This window comes from Homo sapiens, chromosome 13 (assembly GCF_000001405.40).
Source record: "Homo sapiens chromosome 13, GRCh38.p14 Primary Assembly".
NCBI lineage: Eukaryota > Metazoa > Chordata > Mammalia > Primates > Hominidae > Homo > Homo sapiens.
The window spans coordinates 46,167,972-46,188,367 of record NC_000013.11 but is presented as its reverse complement, the minus strand read 5'-3'; the positions used below and the strand labels follow the sequence as shown (position 1 = coordinate 46,188,367).

General features: G+C 40.6%; 1 protein-coding gene and 1 pseudogene across 3 annotated transcripts in view, besides 3 other annotated features; both read left to right on the top strand.

Moving 5' to 3' along the window:
- Nucleotides 6,099-6,528: an enhancer, noted in NCBI's record as "active region_7693". NCBI's record gives its function as "activates an Ori minimal core promoter by ATAC-STARR-seq in GM12878 lymphoblastoid cells {active_cell/tissue: GM12878}" and the evidence as "EXISTENCE:reporter gene assay evidence [ECO:0000049][PMID:35858748]".
- Nucleotides 6,191-20,396, top strand: part of LCP1 (lymphocyte cytosolic protein 1) — a 56,255-nt gene continuing 42,049 nt past the window's right edge. For 2 of the 3 annotated variants that reach the window (NM_002298.5, XM_047430305.1), the window contains exon 1: nucleotides 6,191-6,257. The gene's annotated coding sequence lies outside the window, so the exon portion shown is untranslated. Of the gene's footprint in view, nucleotides 19,906-20,396 lie in introns of all 3 variants that reach the window. The other variant, XM_005266374.3, reaches the window with a different exon arrangement.
- Nucleotides 11,381-11,440: an enhancer, noted in NCBI's record as "active region_7692". NCBI's record gives its function as "activates an Ori minimal core promoter by ATAC-STARR-seq in GM12878 lymphoblastoid cells {active_cell/tissue: GM12878}" and the evidence as "EXISTENCE:reporter gene assay evidence [ECO:0000049][PMID:35858748]".
- Nucleotides 15,841-15,890: an enhancer, noted in NCBI's record as "active region_7691". NCBI's record gives its function as "activates an Ori minimal core promoter by ATAC-STARR-seq in GM12878 lymphoblastoid cells {active_cell/tissue: GM12878}" and the evidence as "EXISTENCE:reporter gene assay evidence [ECO:0000049][PMID:35858748]".
- Nucleotides 18,624-18,910, top strand: RN7SL288P (RNA, 7SL, cytoplasmic 288, pseudogene; annotated as a pseudogene).

Genomic DNA, 20,396 nt, shown 5'->3' with positions numbered 1-20,396 from the left:
TGTAGAATTGATGCCATTATAAGAAAGCAAGTTTATCCCAGTCTTGCTTTCTTGCCTTCTTGCCTTCTGCCACGGGATGAGGCAGCAAGAAGACCCTCATAAGATGCTGGCACCTTATATTGGACTTCCCAGCCTCCAGAACTGTGAGCCAATGAATTTCTGTTTATTATAACTTACCCAGTCTGAGATATTTTGTTATAACAGCACAAAACAGACTACGAGAGAAATTTTGAGGTGAAAGCAGAAATAAAACGTTCAATGGAAGTTTTGAAGAAAATGTAGAAAAATTCTCTCTGACAGTAGAATAGGAAGGCTAAGAGGCAGGAAATGGGAGGAAAAAAAGAAAATTAGAAGATTAATCCAAGAGGCATAACATGCAAATAAATGTAATCCCAGGGAAATAGGGCATAGGAAACAGAGGAAAGGAAATGAGAGATGGAGAGAGAAAATATTTCCCAGAACTGAGAGACTTGAATTTCCCAATTAGAAAAGACCACTGAGTAACTTGCACAGTAGATGAAAACAGACTTACACTAGGACAAATCACCAACAATTTTCAGAACACCTGGCATTAAAAAAAATTCTAAAAATTTTCAGAGAGAAACCAAAAATGATGTGAGAGGGACCATAAGTCAGAATGATATCAGATGTCTCAACAGCAACCTTGGAACCTAGAACACACAGGAACAATCCCTTCCAAATTCTGAGAAAATGATTTCCAGTGTGGATTTCAAAGAATGGAGATCGTTTTCAGCTATAAAATGTCTCAAGAAATTTACGTTCCATAGAACGTTTCTCAAGAATCTACTAGAGGATATGCTCATTAAAACAAGGAAGTAGACAAAGAAAGTGGATGGCATGTGGTCCAGAAATAGGAGATTCAGCCTAGATGGAGAATAAAGGAGTCCCCAGAGTGATGAGGTAGGGAAGCTTCTAGAAGGCAGCTGGGCAGCAGGACCGAACAGAGGAAGGGCCTCTCCAAGGGGGAAACAAGGAATGGATTCATTTCTTGATGTTTTAAATTGAATTTTAGCTCTGTTGGAGAGTTTATACAGAATTAGTAATAAGTACGTAGAAACCTAGCATATCAAAAAAAGATACAAAAACATAATGCAAAATATTCCTAACTCAGTTATGAATATTTTGAGTTACTGTAAAAGCTGAGTATTGATTTAAATAAAAGGGTATTATAAACTGTTCTGGAGGATGATGGGAAGGTTAACATGTATATGTTGGACTGGGGGATGTGAGAGGGTCAAATATTTATCTCTCAAGTAGGAAGGAAAAAATATATGAACATATATATACATATACATAAATATATGTAGGTATCTGAACCCAATCAAGATACACCATAAGCATAACATCTAGAAATATGTAATAAAATAACAGAAGAATTAGCTAAAACTGTTCAAAATACTTGGTTCTAGGGAATGGGAATCAGAGGTGAAGGAGTGTGTCGGGAGACTGGTGTTTCATGAGAAGCCTTGAGGTAATATTTGACTTCTAAAACCAAATACATATATTACTTTGATTAATAAATTAAAGAAAACATATGTCCACACGCACAAAATGTACACAAATGTTAATTGCAGCATTTTTATAATATCAAATAGTAGGCAGCATCCAAATATCCATCAGCTGATGAGTAAATAAAATGTGATATATTCATACAGTGGAATAGCATTCTTCCATAAAAAGGAGTGAAGGTCAGGTGCAGTGGCTCATGTCTGTAATCCCAGCACTTTGGGAGGCCGAGGCAAGAGGATCACCTGAGCCCAGGAATTCGAGACCGGCCTGGCCAACATGACAAGACCCTGTCTCTATAGAAAAAAAAAAAATTTAAATATCCAGGTGTGATGGTGCGTGCCTGTAGACCCAGCTACTCAGGAAGCTGAGGCGGGAGGATGGCTTGAGCCTAGGAGTTCAAGGCCTCAGCAAGCTATAATCACACCACTGCACTTCAGCCTGGGCGACAGAGTGAGCCCCTATCTCAAAATAAATGAATAAATAATAAAATGAAGTAGTGACATGTTACAACATGGATGGACCTTGAAAACATGCTAAGTGAAAGAAGCTCGTCACAAAAGAGCATGTATTGTGTAATTCCCTTTATATGAAATGTCCCGAATAGGCAAATTTATAGAGAGAGAAAATAAACTAGTGGTTGGCTGTGGCTGGGAATTTGGGAGATGGGGGTGAATGGGGAGGAATCTCTAACAGGTACAGAGTTTCTTTTGGGGATGATGAAAATGTTCTGGAATTATATAGTGTAATTGTTGCACAACTCTGTTAAAATACAACAAACCACTGAATTGTATACTTTTTAAAGGTGAATTTTATGGTATGTAAATCATATTGCAATGAAGCCATTATTTTAAAAATTAAAGAAAAAAATTAACAATCATACCTAATTCATAGAGTTGTTGTGAGGAATAAATGAAATAATGGATGTTAGGGGTCTAGTCCAGAGCCTGACGTAAATATTAAGCGATTAGTTAACACGTACATAGGATATACTACGTGCCAGGCACTCTTCTAAGTTCTTTACATATATCAATTCACTTACCCCTTGCAACAACTGTCTAAAATAGACACTGTTCTTACCCCCATTTTATAGACTAGGAAACTGAGGCCAGTGCAAGTAACTAATTTGCCCAAGATCACACAGCTAGTACAACAGTAGAGCTGGAACTTGACCCCAGCCAGCTGGCCCAGCATCTTTACTCTTCACCACTTTGATGCTCCCTCTCTCTGCCTCCCAGGTCCCATGTCTGGGTTAGTGCTGTGTGCTCCTAGGGACGCTGCTTTTCGTCTGTTGTGCTTCCAAGTAGATAACTCTTCACTTGCCTTTTTTCCTTGTCTGTGTCTTCAACTACAGTGGACATTCTACAATGGCAAGGACTGTACCCATCTTAATTCATCTTCATTCCCTGCCCATGATATGTTGGGATGAGGGTGGGCTGCAGAGTGAAGCAAAGGTGTTTTTCTCTTCATACAAATCCCATGAGTGCATGGAGAGGAAGTGGGGAGAGCTGAAGATGCTAGCATTAAGATGCTAGAGAAACACGAGACAATTGATGGAGCAAGATATCTAAGGAAGTAGAATATTAAGAGTGAGATAGTGTTGAAACACTGACCTTGGGAAGAAAGAAGAATGCCGCTTCCATTAAGACTGAAAGAGAGGAGGAAGAGGTGGATATTGTGGAAGTAGAGAGGAAGCTCATACCAGACGACTTGGATCATCTCAGTCAAGAAGGGGCAACAGAAGAATCTTGGGCCAGGACAAAGCATAGGAGGGTGAAGTGGAAGGTTGAGGCAAGAGGAGAGAGTTTAGAATAAATACCCAACTTTTTGGGGTCTGTGATCTCTTTACTAATACAATGGACCCTTCTCCCAGAAAAAAAGTACATACACACAAAATTGTGCATTTAGTTTTAGGGGTCTATGGACTCCAGGTTGAGAATGCCTGTTCTCAAGACTTAGTAAAATTGAATAGAAGTATTTCTGAAAGTAATTTGAAGTCAAGCATCTTGACTTTTTAGCATTCCAAGTTTGTGTTTCTGTGACTTTCCTCAGCAATATTTAGAGGCCTGAGAGTAGCAGGTGATCTGATATCTGGGACTGAGGCCAGAGGCTTCAGGGCAGGAGAGGGTGGGATGAAGTCTGAGAGGGTGGTAGGGCTTAGAGGAAGGCAAAACCCAGGCCAGGAACAGGTGGCAGTGGAGGCTCATAGAGGGTGGGCTGAGAAAGGTCCACTCCGGCTTCAGGCCATAAGGGGGCGCACTGTCTGTACAGAACATAAAAACGTAAGAAAACCAAAAGTCAGTCTTCTGTTTACTAGTACTATGCTGCACAAGCAATTTAAAACACCAACAGCAAAAAAATACACTTCTCTGAAAAAGTCTTGGTCTAGGACCTAAACAATTGCCTGAAACTGGGTAGACTTACACCAATGAGAGGCAGATAAAGAGATTAAGATTGAGGGAGTAGGGCAGGGCTTGCAATGGTGCCGGCCAGGATGTGGCTGAGGGGGTGTGGGTGCCTGCCGTGGATGCTAGGGTAGAAGACGACTCTATTAACTGGGTGGCTGTAAGCAGTACCCAGGTCAATGCCTTTCATCTTCTACAACCTCGACGTTGCCTGGAATCCTAAATCTTTTTCTTCACTTAACAAACATCACCTCTGCTCAAATCTGCAACTGCTTTGATATCACACTGCCTTTTTCACCCCTCTATTATAGATGGCATTTATTTACTTACATGTTTTTTCCCCACTAGACTATACTCCTTGAGAACAGCGATTGTGTCTTATTTATTTCTGAATCACCAATTCAGACAGGCATGCAAACACTTGCTGAACCAATGCACAAATATATTTTGCTCTTCTTCATAGATTCCTCCGGCCTCAGATGACCAGGCACCACTAGATACAGAACACTGTGCTTTCCTTCTCCAAGGTAAAGGAATAAATATCTGTTCCCCTTCATGAAGTGTTACTGTTGGGCCTTTATGCCATCCTGAAGCCACCAGGATGTGGAACCAGATCAGGGAGGTCCACAGTTACAACCCCTTGTATCTGTAACACCAGCAGGACATTATCTACAGAGTCCTGCTGCAGGGCCCCGAATGAAGACAGCATTTTGCTGCTTTGTAGCGTGAGCAGTGCTGTAACAGTGATGCATGGATGTTCCTCTGGTGTCCTGAAAGAATGTAGGTGCTTCTTGAAAGCTCTCTGCAACTTATTAATTGGGAGTGATTATGCGATGGAGAAAACAGAGTCCCATCACCCCCTCAGTCTTCCCTGGGAAATCACAAGAGGGCTGATAGCTCTCTGTGAGGTGAACCGTTTCTAGAATCCCCACCGTCTCGTCCTGTTCTTCCGCCCACCCAGTTCCTCAAGATAGCCCCTGTGGGCTTCTGATGAAGTCACCACACCACTGGCTAATGAAGTAGATAAACCAGAACAGTTTGGTTTAACATTTAAGGTCAGAAACAGGAACTTTCTAGAGGAGAAATCAAAAAAGCAAAAGAAGTATAAGGGCAGCCCTCCAACCAGTCAGAATACCGTGACCACCTGAGAGGCCCGTGGCCCAGCGGACACGGACGCATGTCAACTCTGGAGCAGATATCTTCAGCGCAGCATCTGACCTGGGAGTACAGCCACATACCCTCATTCCTAAACGGCAGATTGACTACTGGAGTCACACACAGTCTCCGGGCAATGTGGAGACATGTCTAATATTTAGTCAACATAACTCAGGGTGCCACAGTCTTCACAACTGTTGTGAGCACTTGAGGATGCTCCATTTGAAGATAGGAATTTGCCCTCAAGCATCTGGGGTTTGGGTACAGAACAGAGCTTCCCCTGCCACCACCTGCTAATTTTATAAAATGTGCATTCAAAAAAAAATCCTGCCTGTAAGAAGGAATTAAGCTACCCATTTAAATATAACAGCTGCCTGTGCAATCTACTGCTGCTCTTTATAGGAAACGCTTAAATAATTGAGATACTTAATTGGGTTAAAGAGATCCCTAGCACATAGATGTTCTATAAATAAAAGAATGAGTAAATAATCTAGTAACCTTCCTTTTCATGTCCTTCACTTAAAGAGATCGTTCTGTTTTGTTTGCACCAATAAGATCACTGTTAGAGGACTCCAGAGAGGTTTGATTTCAGGTGGGGTGGGGCTTTCCCAAGGAAGTCCCTTTTCATTTGTTTCAGGTGTACTGCCACCTTTTTCCCTGGCTCTTTCACTAAAAATGAAAAATTTGTTGATCTTTGCTGTAAGTAGGTAGGCATCTGGGCTTTGCTTTTGCAACTAGAGTCAAAGAAGTCAAGTTATCAGGCTGATCTTGCCTTGCTATCTAGAATCAGAAAGGTTTAAGTAGCCCAGGGACTACTCAAAGACAGCTGGAGGAGAAAGGGAGAGAGAAAAATGCTTATAAAGAGGTGGGCAAAAGAGCGGGACCTTGTCTCAAAAAAAAAAAAAAAAAAGAGGAAGTGGTAGGAGGTGTCTGAATTTCACTGTGACCTGTTCTGTCAGGTGATTTTTGGTGGGGCGGGGACATGAAAAAAAAGTTAAAATGTCCTTATAAAGACAAAATCTTTTTCTTTCCTGGCTGATGATTTGTCATTCTAGTCACTTCCTGCCTTGTGACCACACACCCAGGCTTGACAAAGCTGTTCTGCAGATCAGAAAGAAGGGGTTCCTGGTCATACACCAGTACTACCAAGGACAGCTTTTTTCCTGCAAGGTAAATGTTCTTCATGTGTTTTTGTTGGTTTTAAGCGCTTGTGATGCACTTCGGCACTGTTTCTGTGGATTGTGGGTTTTGCCTTCAGGGGACCAGAGATCTGAGCATGTCACCTGAGACCTCTGTGATTCCTGCCACTGTCTAACTGGCCAGGACATCTGCCGCCACCTCGCGTGGCCATCCAAGATGGAGCACCTCGGCTCTCTGGGCTGGGTTCTTCTCAACTTATCTGCAGTTATCACCCCTGCCCAAAATTAAGGTTTCTTTTTCCTTTTAAAACCAAACCATGTTCTGGTTTATTTCTATTGCTCTATTTCACGGAGGCTATTTACTGTGATTTTATCTTCTTTAAAATGTTTTCAGGAAAAGCGCGTATTGATAATTTAGATTGTATGGCTTATTGGCCCAATGGGGGTAGTTTAATTTTAGTTCCTGCGGTTCTGTTTTTCTAAAAAACTTCTTTACAGTACTTTAGTGGATAAATTATCTAGAGTCATATGTTACTGAATGTGATACTGGTTATTTGAGTGATTTTTGGCGCCAAGGGTTTTTAATGGGTGTGCTTTATAACCACATGGAATTAGAGGTTTTCTCTTTTCCATTTGTTCTCTAAAAATAAAAGCAATTTGTATAATGCTTAATTGTAGTGTTTTTGTAGGATTGTCTGAATTATTTGTTATGCTTATGACCATATCAATGAATATTCACTCAAATTCTGGGAGAAAGGCTTTTATCTACAATAGAAATTTTTACACAGTTGATATGGGATATTTATTTCAGAAACTGCCCAAACATAGACACTTTGGATTTTGTAGTATAAGCTTTTACTTAATTACCACTATCACATAACACTAAGAACCATTGACAAATGATAACTATAAAAGCCATTCAGACTGGAAATGCGAACATTAATCAGGATGTTTATCAAAACCGAACTTTTCTTTTACACAGCAACTTGTTTTCTAAAATTACTCTGTCAGAACTATCAGTAAGCAAATAAAGGTGGCTTATCCACACACATCTTGATTTTGAATTTACATACATTTGTCATAAGTTTGGTTTCTATTAAGTATAATTGTTTAAAGAATGTCTGTGTAGACAAATTTGAATAGAATTAATCATTTACCTATAAATGTGAATTTCTGGAAACTGCAAAATGTGACCACCAATGTTACTTTGCACATCTCACCTGAATAGTTTCAAACAAGCAAAAATGTGAAACTGAGATAAGAGGGACTTGAACCCCGTAAAAGAACAGACTAAAAATATGTTGTGTCTTATTTTAAGTAAAACTATTAATGAGAATAAAATAAATTCGAATGTGAAGGAATGTCAGTATTTTTCTTATATTTACGAAGGAATAAAAAAGAACTATGCGAAAGTTAATTCAAAATATAAAGGTCCCCTGTTTAAAGTTAAGTTTACATTGCTAAAGCATCAACCCCATATGTTACAAAGATATTCCTCTTCATTCTAGCTCACCCCCAGGAACATCAGGGGAAAAATCTTCTAGGTCTTGCCCTTTGAACAAGCACTGCTGTGGTGGGATGGAGTTGTGCCTAGGAGGACATTTCCTTAGCAATCCCAGAGACCCTTTTCTTTGTAGCATTTAAATTTTTGTCTCTTTTGTAAATTATGCCTTGAAACAATTGGTAATTTGGGAAACAATTTCAGTGCTTTAACTTCATTTATAATTCTATCTCTGAACCCTTTGGGGAAGGGAAGACCAACAAGTAAAGTCTCATTTACTTGTTGTTAAAGTACCATTTAACTTGGAGAGGACAGGAAATTAATAATAGCACTCAATAATTATGAGCACGTAGTGTAAGCAGCTACTCTTTATGCATTACCTCGTTTAATCCTCTCAGCTACCTTTAGAGATAAGGAATGGGCTAGATAATTGAAGGAACCGGCCATAGGTCACTGGGCAGTTGGGGTGGGGGGCAGTAGATGGCCAGGATTTCAGGCTCCTACTGACTGTGTGTGTTACAGATCCTCCCTTCCAGGCCAGCATATTTTTCTCAGAGGTAGGTGATTATAGACTTTTATTACTGAAGCTAGCTAACAAGATCTTGGCACTCACAGTTTTAAGAGAGAATAAAAGAGAGAGAGCAAGAGAAAGAAGAGAGAGAGAGAGAGAAGAAAAACTTTGTAATAAATTTACAAACATTTTTATTTTTATAAATAAGAGATACCATTGCAGGTTTTATATAATAATGGGCTGAAGAACTATTTTTAAATTAATGCATAATTTTACTAAAGAATTGTGTGCCTTTACAAACTTGCCTCGACCCACTTCCCCAATCTTATTTCTTGTCACTTCCTTCTGTTCAACCTCCCACTACCCCATCCCCTCCCCCGCCACTGCTAACCCACATTTTGGTGCACCAGACCACAAGCCACCAGAAAGTTCCATTCTCTTTCACCTTTTTTCACTGCAACTGTTTCTTTAATTGCATTCTTCTTTATTTTTAAAACTTCTGATCATTTTTCAAGGCGGACTTCAAGAAACATACCCTTTTGGAGGCCTTCCCATCTTCTCCCTGCCCCCACTAAATGTTTCTTTGGTGTGCATTTGCTCAATGCTTTGATCTTGGAGTAAGTATAACATTAATCACATTGTCTTAGTTTCAAGTACTTATTTGCTGACAGACCTGAGCTCCTTCTCCATCTTTCCTGGCACATGTAGATACTAAAGGCATTTATTGAATTGAAAATTTGTCACAAGTATTTTTTTTCTCAGCTTCTTACATACGCATGAAAGACTTTGATTGTACTTATTAACTTAATATTTACTGAGTTTCCATTTATTGCTATGAATGAAGATGCAACAATAATATAATATTTTGCATTCTACCATGTTTCAGCTTTACCGAAGCCCTAGTCTCATTTTAGCTTCAAAGTATCATATAGACATTGACCTCAAGAAATTTAAAAAATTGTACAATGACTAACAAACAGGGAAAATTACAATCTCATTTTTTTAGTATAAATACATTGGTTGGGCCAAAACTTAGCTACCCTTGCCAAAACTATATACCCAATAATGGGCCTCTTTGATGACAAAGAACACAAGGGCAGTTGTTAACTTTTACTTAGTCACTTTGGATTATTCTCAGAAAATTCTCAAGTCAACTTCTCCTTGTTACCTAAAGAGTACAGGCCCTTCTGTGTATACAGGAGAGATGGCAAGCAACTTTTAAAATCAGCTTAGGTAAAATAAAATTAAGAAATCTGCTTATAAGGTTATACTTATGAAGAGTCAAACACTTATAAAATAAGATTATAAAGGCTTGGACTTTATTACTAATAGTAGATTTTATAGTAGAGTGACATTATTTCAGTTAATCTAATTTTCTTCCTAGTGTTTTTTTATCTGCTAGTTTCCCAACTTACAGATATCAAATGAAATGATACTATTTCATCTGTATACTGAACACTGCAGAAATAAACATTAGAATTAGGACACATCAAAATATAAAACTAATCAGTGTCCACAGATTTGAAGAGTTTCAAGTGTTCCTATTTTGCCAGATGGAAGCGCACTCCTTAAAAAAGTGTTAATGTTCTACAGGGTCTTCATTTTGAGGCTCTCGGAAGTCACCTCCTGATTAGATGTTGGTTTCCTAGGGATATCTCCCTATAGCTGCTGTGGCCGTGGTGTTCCCCAGATGGCATCTCCTTGTTGCTTTCCTCAGTTCCCTTCTGATCCAACTTCCTGCCTTATACTATTGACTGTTCCTGTTGTTTTGGTTTGTCAGTTTCAATGCTTACATCAGTCTGCCCAGAAATTGCATAACTGCTCCATCTTGTAAGATATCGGTGGGGGATGGGGGGGAGTGGAAGGCGCTTCAATTAATCATCCTAATAATAACGTTAATACTTACATTGAATCAGGTGTTTTTCTAAGTGCTTTAACCCTATGAAAGCATTTAGTTGTCATACAGTCCTGTGAGGTAGTGTCTGGTGTCCTCTTCATATTTGAAGGCAAGTTCATTCATTCACGTATTTTATTTAATTTTCTACAATTGGATCAATTTTGTCTTAACTGTTGAATTTCAAGGCAACTTCCTGGAATAAACAGGTAGCAAACCATGGTGCTTATTTGTAACTAAGCCCTCAAGTTGAGCTCAAATAATCATAATACTTCCCCAAATAAATGCATCTATATGATAAGTGCTTTTATAAACAAATTATTCTGTGTCATCATATCATCATCATCATCATTATCATCACCATCAGCAGCAGCAGCAGCAGCAACAGCATCAGTAGTCAGCCCCTCTGTACACTTGACTGAGTAGAAGTTGGTTGTTAACAATTACAGGCCTCTGCATGGGTCACAAAACATGATCTCCACCCTCAAAAACTTTAAAAGGTTCTTAGTCTTTTGTTTGTTTGTTTGTTTGTTTTTTGAGACAGAGTTTCACTCTGTCGCCCAGGCTGGAGTGCAGTGGCGCGATCTCGGCTCACTGAAACCTCTGCCTCCTGGCTCACCCAGGCTGGAGTACAGTTGCGTGATCTCGGCTTACTGAAACCTCCGCCTCCTGGGTTCAAGCGATTCTCCTGCCTCAGCCTCCCGAGTAGCTGGGACTACAGGCGCCCACCACCACGCCCGGCTAATTTTTTGTATTTTTAGTAGAGACGGGTTTCACCTTGTTAGCCAGGACGGTCTCGATCTCCTGACCTCGTGATCTGCCTGCCTCGGCCTCCCAAAGTGCTGGGATTACAGGCGTGAGCCACCGCGCCCGGCCTTTAAAGTTTAGAATAATTTTAGTCAAGTGGCATTCACATTTTCTAGTCTGTTGTGACTGATAGACATGAATAGATTAAACATTCTACTTTTTATACCCAAGTACACATATCTATGATTGTATAGTAATGGCCAAATATAAGTGTCCTAAAAACTGAGAAAGAATGAAACATTGCTTTAAATGTTAGTGGAAGAAGAGAGGTAAAAGTGAACCACTTACTGGGTTTAAGTAAGTTTTGCTCAACTTCAGAGCCATGGCTGTGTCAGCCCCACTTGCAAGTACAAGGAGCCTGTTACTCAAAGATGGTCAGTTGTTCTTTCTGGCGGAAGGAAAAGCTATGTTAAATTGGGGAACTAGCAAACCCACAGTTCTGTGGTTGCAGCATTGATTCTTATTTCAGCATCTGTTACATGGACAGAAGGGAGGGTCTCCCTCCCTCTCTCTCTCTCGCTCTCTCACACACACACACACACACACACACACAAATAAACACACATACACGGAAACACACACACACACTCACTCACACACTCCTTCTTGACTGGATAAGCTAAAGTGAAAAAGAGATTATGTTTTCCATAGCAGAAAAGCTGACACCAAATTCAGCAAGCAGATTAATTATGCATGTGAATTGCAATCTCCCAGATAATTTGCTTTCCTTCTTTTTCTGGTTGCACTTTCTAGAGGGAAGTGAATTAATGGAACAATTACCTTGTATTTAAATAATACCCTGCATTTTGTTTCCTCAGTCTGGTAGTAGTCACTAAAATTTATCCAAGCTATGTATCCAAATGTGTGAAGTAAAAGGATACACAAATGTTATTTGTATAAAATTTGCATATTTTCCCTATTCAGCATTCCTTAGGCAAAGTTTAAAATTAGAAGTGGATCTTTATTAACCTCAGGTGCAACTTTTTTTCCATAAAAACCTTTTATAATAATTCATGAGATTATAATAGATGTGTGTGCATTCAATATAGCTTCCATCCTGAAAATGTTTTTTCAGTTTTTATTTATTTTTAAATTGACATATAACGGTATGTATTTATGGGGTACCTAGTAATGTTTCAATACATACAATGTCTAGTGATGAGATCAGGGTAATCAGCATATCCATCATCTCAAACATTTTTTATTTCTTGTGCTGGAAACATTCAATCGCCTCTCTTCTAGCCATTTTAAAACTATGTACTGTTAACTATAGTTATCCTATAGTGCTATAGAACATGAGAGCTTATTCCTCCTGTCTAGCTATAATTTTGTATCTAAACAAATCTCTCCTATCCTCCACCTTCCCCCTACCCTTCCCAGCCTCTAGTAATCTCAGGTGTAACATTTAAAAAGTAGATCCTTTGTACCTCCTTGACATCATCTGCTCATATCACCCTCACCAGAAAGGCCAGCTTGAACAAAGAAGAGTGGGATATAAATTCTTTATAGAGAAAGCTAGGTAATAGGTGCAAAGTGGGAGTAAGGAAAAAAGAGAAGATCATGCCTGTAGTTTTGCACTGTTGAGCACTCTTTTGTCATCTTAAAAATGCGAACTGAACTTCCCCCACTGTTTCTAATGCTTTATAAACAGTTTTAAAGTTTCCCTTTGAAAATATGGAATATGGTAGGCACCTTGGAAAACTTTGGATTTTTTCCTTTTCTTGCTGTCATTCATGTTGGGACTGTTCCTCAAAATATCATGGATTCTGTTTCTTTTCTGTGACCACTGAGAATGACAGTTGTGATACTTCATCTACCTGGTGATGTTCACACAGTTTTTCTCCTCCCTCCGTACCCACCCTACTGTTCACTGCACGCAGTTCTTCCTCCAGTACCATATCTCCAGTACCAGTTCTTTAAAGCTGAGTGTCTGCAGCTCCCAGGCACAAAAGAGGCAAATGTGGTATAAAGAAAGGGGAGCAAAGGTAGAGACAGATTTGGATTTATATTCTGGGCTCTTGGTAAATGTGGAGGCTGAGCAAGTCTCTGGAGCCTCTGAAGTTCAGTTTCCTCATCTATAAAATCAGGCAAGTGCTATCTACTCGCTAGGTGTGATGTGGGTTATTTTCCCCTTCCATTTTCCCATGTTGTCGTCTAGGTAGATATGGAGCATATCTACTCCACCCAGCGTCACCACTGACTTACTGAGCCCCTAATATTTACTAGGCATCATGCCAAACGCTTGAAAGATAATTACTCTTTTATTTTCATACATAGCTAGGTAAAGTTGTTATTAATTATATCCTTATTCCAGATGACCAAGCTGAGGTTCAGGGAGGGTTAAGTGACTTGTCTGGGGTCACAGAACCAGTAACTGGCAGAGTCAAGATTCACACCTTTCCTCTCTCTCATTTTATGTTGGCAGTTTCTTAAAAGTATAATCCATGTCTATTTAAACTGTTTTGTATCTTCTAACATGATCCACTAGTTGCTTCCTGATAATATGTCTATATACTTTTTTGTGTTTCCATGATTATTGAATGATTATTTGTAATTCCACATTTTCTTTCTTTTTTCTTTTTTTTTTTTTTTTTGAAGATGGAGTTTTCGCTCTTGTTGCCCAGGCACAATCTTAGCTCACTGCAACTTCCGCCTACTGGGTTCAAGAGATTCTCCTGCCTCAGCCTCCTGAGTAGCTGGGATTACAGGCACACACCACCACGCTCAGCTAATGTTTTTGTATTTTTAGTAGAGACAGGGTTTCACCACATTGGCCAGGCTGGTCTTGAACTCCTGACCTCAGGCGATCCCCCTACTTCGGCCTCCCAAAGTTCTGGGATTACAAGTGTGAGTCACTGCACCCGGCCTATAATTCCACATGTTCTATCAGGAAGAGATCCCAAGTCTCCTTTTGTTAGGTCGGCTGGTATACCAAACATATTTGAGAAATAAATATAAATGCTTGAGGATTTTATGGTGGGAAGTCTTTAAAATAATAGCTGTGAAGATATTAGATTAGGCTATTTAGGCACTTAAAATTTTGATAAAAGAAATGTTATACATATTCCATTGTACGTTGGTATTGGTAAATATTTACCAACTAAACTGTAACTTTTAAAAAAAATGAAGATAAAGAGAGCCCATCAAATTAATACAAATTTCCTGTCTCAATTTATCTGTAACTTCTCCTTTTGTTTTTTTCTGCAAATAAGCTTGTCATTAGAGATTCTAAAATCCAAGAAGCCTATTGAGAATGAGATCACATTATTACAAATAAATAGAAGTTTCTGTTATCATTGCTTGTATACAAATGTCTGCTGTACATTGTCTCACTGTTTTTCAGCTCAGACTACAATGGTAAAAATGCCTGGAGAATTAGAGAGTGGAGAGGAGGTAGAGTGTAGTGCAGGATAACAGAATCAGTTCTGAGCATTGGTGCATCTGACAGAGAGGAGATGTTGCCCAGTGGTCCTCATCACAGATGCCCAGAGATCTCTTTTCTTTTCATGGCTCATAGTGTATGTGGTTGGGCTTTTCTTAAGATTGCTGTACATTTTTCCACTCTGGCCATACTTCCTCAACTGTTAGAAGGTACTTTCCACTGTCAGTACTCAGGCAAGGCAAAGCCCGGAGCCCCTTCACCACTCAGGATGAGCTAATACCAATGCTGTTGGCTTTGGGTTGGTATCATGTACCAGTTCTGCAATACCTGACTTCAAGGACTCCGAATAAGAAATGTGGTACCAAAGCCAAAATAAGCCAGACTGAGAACATTAAAACATAGAGCATGGATGTGAGATCTAGATTTACACCCACACAAAACACATAGTATACAACACAACTAATCTTTGCTTTTAAGTTGCGACTTGACAATATTTCCTACAGTTTATACTAGAAATTGGGATTTGTTCTCCAAGATAATTTTGCAAAAGTTCTAGTTCTTTTACATTTTCTTTTAACTTCCTCTGTTCCTTCCCTTTTCCTTCTTTCTTTCCTTCCTCTCTTCCTCTCTTTCTCCCTTCAGTCACCAGGCACTGTTGTATATATTTTAAACACTCTGTCTCACCTAATCCTAATGCTGCCCTATGAAATGAACGGTGTGATTGCATTATTAGCACCCCTTCTTTAAAGATGAAGAAACTGAGGCTCGGAAAATTTAAGTAACACATTCAAATACACACAGCAAAAAATAGTTGAGTCAGAAAATTCAGCATTTCACCATACCATGTCACTGCCTAGTTGATTCATTTTAAAAACAATATATAATGATCCTAATTTCATAAAGGAAGCGAGGAACATTAGCTTTTGTTTGGAATGCCTTTACATGGGTGTATCCCTGTATCCTAGATCCACACATCTAAGAAGTAAAGCACATTTCATGGACCGTGCATCTCAAAGGTTTTTTAAATAAAACTTTAGGTTCTTAAAATGCCAACTGACTTGTGTTTTTCCCACGCATTGCTTCGACCAAACTAAGACTCCAGAGGTTCCACTTACTTCTCTTTTTGGACCAGTCACTGACTTACTTTGAGACTTTGGGGAGTGACTTCACCCTCCAGGGCCCCTATTTCCCCATTCTAACATGTTCAGTTCCCTCCTGTCTTTGCAGTATTTTCTAAATGGGAGATAATGACATAAGGAGAAAGCTATGCACACACAAACCAAAATGGTTTCCGGGCAGAATTATTTTGTTGTTTGTATTCACATTACCTGTGGTGAGTGGAGTATAGCCTGCATCACCGAGGTTTTGCCTCTAGAAACAAGAGCTAGTGAGAACGAGCAGCACGCTGACACCACCTCACCAACCTCTCATCCTGGAGGTCTCCTCCTGCATCCCTGTCTGTAGCCACACCCAACCTGCCACAGCTTCCTGTGTGTGCTTTTGCTTTGCACTTTGTAGAGCTATTTTCTCTTTCTTTTCTTTTCTTTCTTCCTTTTTTTTAATGTAATGGAGCCTTGCTCTGTGGCCCAGACTGGAGTGCAATGGCGTGATCTCAGCTCACTGCAACCTCTGCCTCCCGGGTTCAAGTGATTCTCCTGCCTCAGCCTCATGAGTAGCTGGGATTACAGGCACCCATCACCATGCCTGGCTAATTTTTGTATTTTTAGTAGAGATGGGTTTTCACCATGTTGGCCAGGCTGGTTTTGAACTCCTGACCTCAGGTGATCCACCCATCTCAGCCTCCCAAAGTACAGGGATTACAGGCGTGAGCCACCATGCCTCGCCCTGCAGAGCTATTTTCTCTGCCTGAAATGCCCTTTTCTATTTTGTCTGTTTGGAAAACTACTGGTTCCCTAAGACTTAGCTCAGTGGGCAACATCACCTTCTCTGGAAAACCTTCTTTTGCCTTCCCAGGCAGAGTTAAATACAGTTGTTCCATGGTATCCACAGGGCACTGGTTCCAGTAACCCCCTCGGTACTAAAATCCATACATACTCAAGTCCTGCAGTCAGCCCTGTGGTACCCACATGTACGAAAAGTTGGCCCTTGGTCGCCCTGAGTTTCGCATTCTGCGAATACTTGTATTTTCCATCCACATTTGGTTGCAGATGCTGACCCTGAGGACAATGAGGGCTGACTGTATTGAAGAAAATTGCGTATAATTGGACGCACACCATTGAAACCTGTGTTGTTCATAGGTCCACTGCACTTCATTCTCTGTGCTCCTGTAGCTCCATGCAAATAATATCTTTAAAATATTCATATTAGTGTAGTCTTGCATTTGCGTGACTATTTTGTTTACTGGACTGTGTGCCCCTCAGGAGCAAGGATTCTCTGCTGTTCATCTTGGTATCTTTAGTACTTAGGACAAGGTATGTGCTTTATTAAATGTGAGTGAATGACTGAGGTGTGGAGGCCACGGGCAAAGAGGACCCTTTTCTCCACCAGTGGCAGGGGGGACACAGGCAGAAAAGATCAAGCCTGGTTGTGTTCTTGCTCTTCTTAATACTTCCTTTAAAGATGTTGAGAAACCGAAGACACATTTAGAACTTCCCTAAAGAGCCTAGGAAGGGCCCAGTCCTAAGTAAAACCTTGCAGAAATATGTGTTTCCCTAATTAACATGAGGTCAGAGCTTTGACCTTCAAGGGCAACCCCAAAGGATGGCAGGGAAACTCGAGATACAGGAATCCCATAGCCAGAAATGATAGGAAAGGCAGGAGGCCACTCCAGTTTATAGCTGTGCGACCCTGGGCCAGCTATTTAAACCTCAGTTTCCTCAAAGTGGGAATCATAGTAATACCCTATAGGATTGTGGTGAGAATTAAATGTGAATGCATGTAAAACATTTAGCACTGAGTTAACCACTCATTAATGTTAACGGCTATTATTACTGACCAACTGGTCTTTTCATTTGTTCTTTAGCTATTTGCCCTTTCTCTGACTCCAAATAGATAGGCTTTCTATAGAGAGAGCATGGAGTCTCTGATGAATGAAGAAAAAAACAGACTGATCTTTAAGCAATCTCCTACTGCTCTGTTGAAATCTAGGTCAAATGTCACTTCCTCTAGGGGGCCGCCTTTGGCTCTCCAGGGGAGAGCTATTTTTTCCCTCTTCCTGTGGATCTAAAAAGTTTCGCTGTATTCTAGTTACTGTGTCTCTCTCCCCTACTCAACAGGCCAAAGCCACGTCTGTGTGTTCTCAGCATCTAACACAGGACCTGGCATATAGTAGGTGTTTGGCAGATGTCTATTGAAGGAAGAAATTTACAAATGTATGAATTTTTTTAGTGACAGACATTTAGAATTACTGGGGGATGAATAGCATTGTTCAGATAGTGAGACGCAAATTACATGCAGGTAAATGCTAGCACCTATATTTCCAGCTTGCTCCTTGGTACACCGCATATGTGCATCCCAGGTGGGTTTGCCCCTCATTCAGTCACTGCTCTGTCTCCAAGGTTCCTTTCCCTCCCACCTCAGCAGCGCTCAGCTTACAAGCAGGCCCTACAGAGTTGGATAGAGACCCACTGCCAAGCATTACCGGCAGCCAGCAGGTTTTACAGCAACAGTGCCAAGAAGCCCAGCCTCAGGATCTGCAATCTCAGACAGAATCGCTTTTGCGGCTGGCAAGGTAGGGCTAGGCAGCAGGCACAGGTGCCATTTCACAGACTACCTCGGGCCAGCAGCTGCCCTTTAGACACCAAATTAACTCACCAAAGTTGTCTTTCCAGCAAAGTGGTTTAATGTGAATTTGAAGCATTTAGTAGCCTTGTTTTGGGTGTCTGTACCTTTCAGTGGATGGGATTGTCTAAGTATGTACACAAGAATATTATTGTTAAATTCCTCAAAGAAGGTGATAGGGGACTTTTCAAGTCCTGTATACCATTAGGTTATGGATTGTTTTGTTCATGTACACAGCTCATTTACTGAGTACCTCACATGGGCCAGACACTAATCTGCTAGGAGAGATGAATGGTAACAGGGACCACACTACAGAGATCTGGACCAAAGCTCAGAGGAAGGGCTCACTGATTCTCCCCAGCCTCCAGAACAGGATGCCTGAAACCATGATGATTGTTGCGATAAGTCTGAGGGTGTCATTTTATTATTGATCTATGAATTTGGCTGTCTTGTCTTTTGAACATTTCATCTCGTGGTGAGTTGTTTTAATTGGGTTTGCTCTTTGGTTGCTAAGGAAATTTGGAGGGCCTTAGTGCAAGGTCAAGAATCAATGTACAACAAGGTGTGGTGGTGCACGCCTGTAGTCCTAGCTACTTGGGAGGCTGAGGCAGGAGGGTGGCTTGAGTCCAGGAGTTCTGGGCTGTAGTGTGCCATGTCAATTGGGTGTCAGCACTAAGTTTGGCATCAATATGGGAGCAGGGGACCACTAGGTTGTTTAAGGAGGAGTGGGTGCACTGGCTCACACCAGAAATGGAGCAGGTCAAAACTCCTGTGCTGATCAGTAGTGGGATCACACCTGTGAAGAGCCACTGCACTCCTGCCTAGGCAACATAGTGAGATCTGTCTCTTTAAGGAAAAAAAATAGAATAAATGTATAGAGACAAATGCAGGGGGTAAGAATCATCGTGACCTAGAAGATGCCAGTGTACACAATATTTGTATGTGATTTGGCACATGTTAATTGCAGCCTAAACCTGAACAGTGCCTTTGCCATACCTAGAAAAATTCCCCTTCATGTACAAGAAACATACATGAAATTATATTCGTAAGACATTTGAAATCTTGGGGGATTGTTCTTACTATATGTGAAGAAGGTCTTAATTAAAGAGAAGAGTCCTATCTTAGGGTTTAAAACTTATTAAAGAGGAAAGAAGAGAAATAAGGAGGCCTGGACTCTGGTCCCAGCCACACCTCCAATAAGCTCTGTGATGTTAGGCATGTCCTTTAACTTGGGTGTCATTTCATGCCTCTGTGACAGGGGAGTGGCCAGATAGATCATCTCTAAGATCCCTCCACCTCTACATTCTATGACTGCTATTCTTACTACATTCATTCTATAAGGAAGTTGGCATAGACCCAGAAGATAGCAAAGAAAACTATGAAAGATTTGGAGAATAAGCCCTAAAAAAGCAGGTTACAAGAATATAAAGAGACCAAGGCATGTGATGGAATCTTTATGAATTGAACAGCTCCTGTTATTTCCTCTGAGAATAGCCCAAGAGAGACCTTCAATCGTATCAGAAAAGATTTAGGTTACAAAGTAGGGATATGAGACACCAGAGAGGTTGTAGGATTTCCTTATTTGGATATTTTTAACAAAATAGTAGATGACTCTCTTTCTGGGACAGTTTGAGTACCGTCTTGCCTAGAAACTAGGAGTGAACTGGATCAACGTGTCTTAAGCTGTGTGTGGTAACATCCCATAAAACAGGTCTCACGTGCTGCTCTGGGAACTTCCCTGATCTGTGCGGGGGCAGTCCAGCAGCTAGGCAGCTGAGCAGAGCGCATCTGCCTGGGGCCAGTGAGGAGAATGCATCTAGACAGAGCTTTTCGTGCTGCTGAGGTAAGAGCAGGAACACAGCCCCCCAGCCCCCAGGAGCGAGGCTGGGCTGGGAGCTGCCCACTCCCTCACTTGCTCCATTTCACAGAAGGCACCTCCGAGCCAAAGCTACAGCTGCTGATGGCGCCAGCAGCTATTTCTCAGCTCATTTGCAATACTTTCTAATCTAGCTCTAATTTGTATGTATACTTGTCAGCTACTGCATAGAATTTTGGAACTTTTAACATAGAACGGACTCCGCTTCTCAATTTATGAATGAGAAAACTGAGTCCCATAGAGGCAAGATGGAGCCTAAAGTTACACAGCCTAGGTCTCCTGACTGCCAAGCTTGGCACTTCCTTCTATTTCCTGCCAGTTATTTCCATTTTGATTTCTTTGGAGATGTTCAAGTATATTAATTGTCTCAATATCTTAATTGCCTGGGCTGCTTTAGGTATTTTATATTTTTATTTTTTTGATAAGCCTCTGTGCTAATTTCTTACACTTATCTAGTT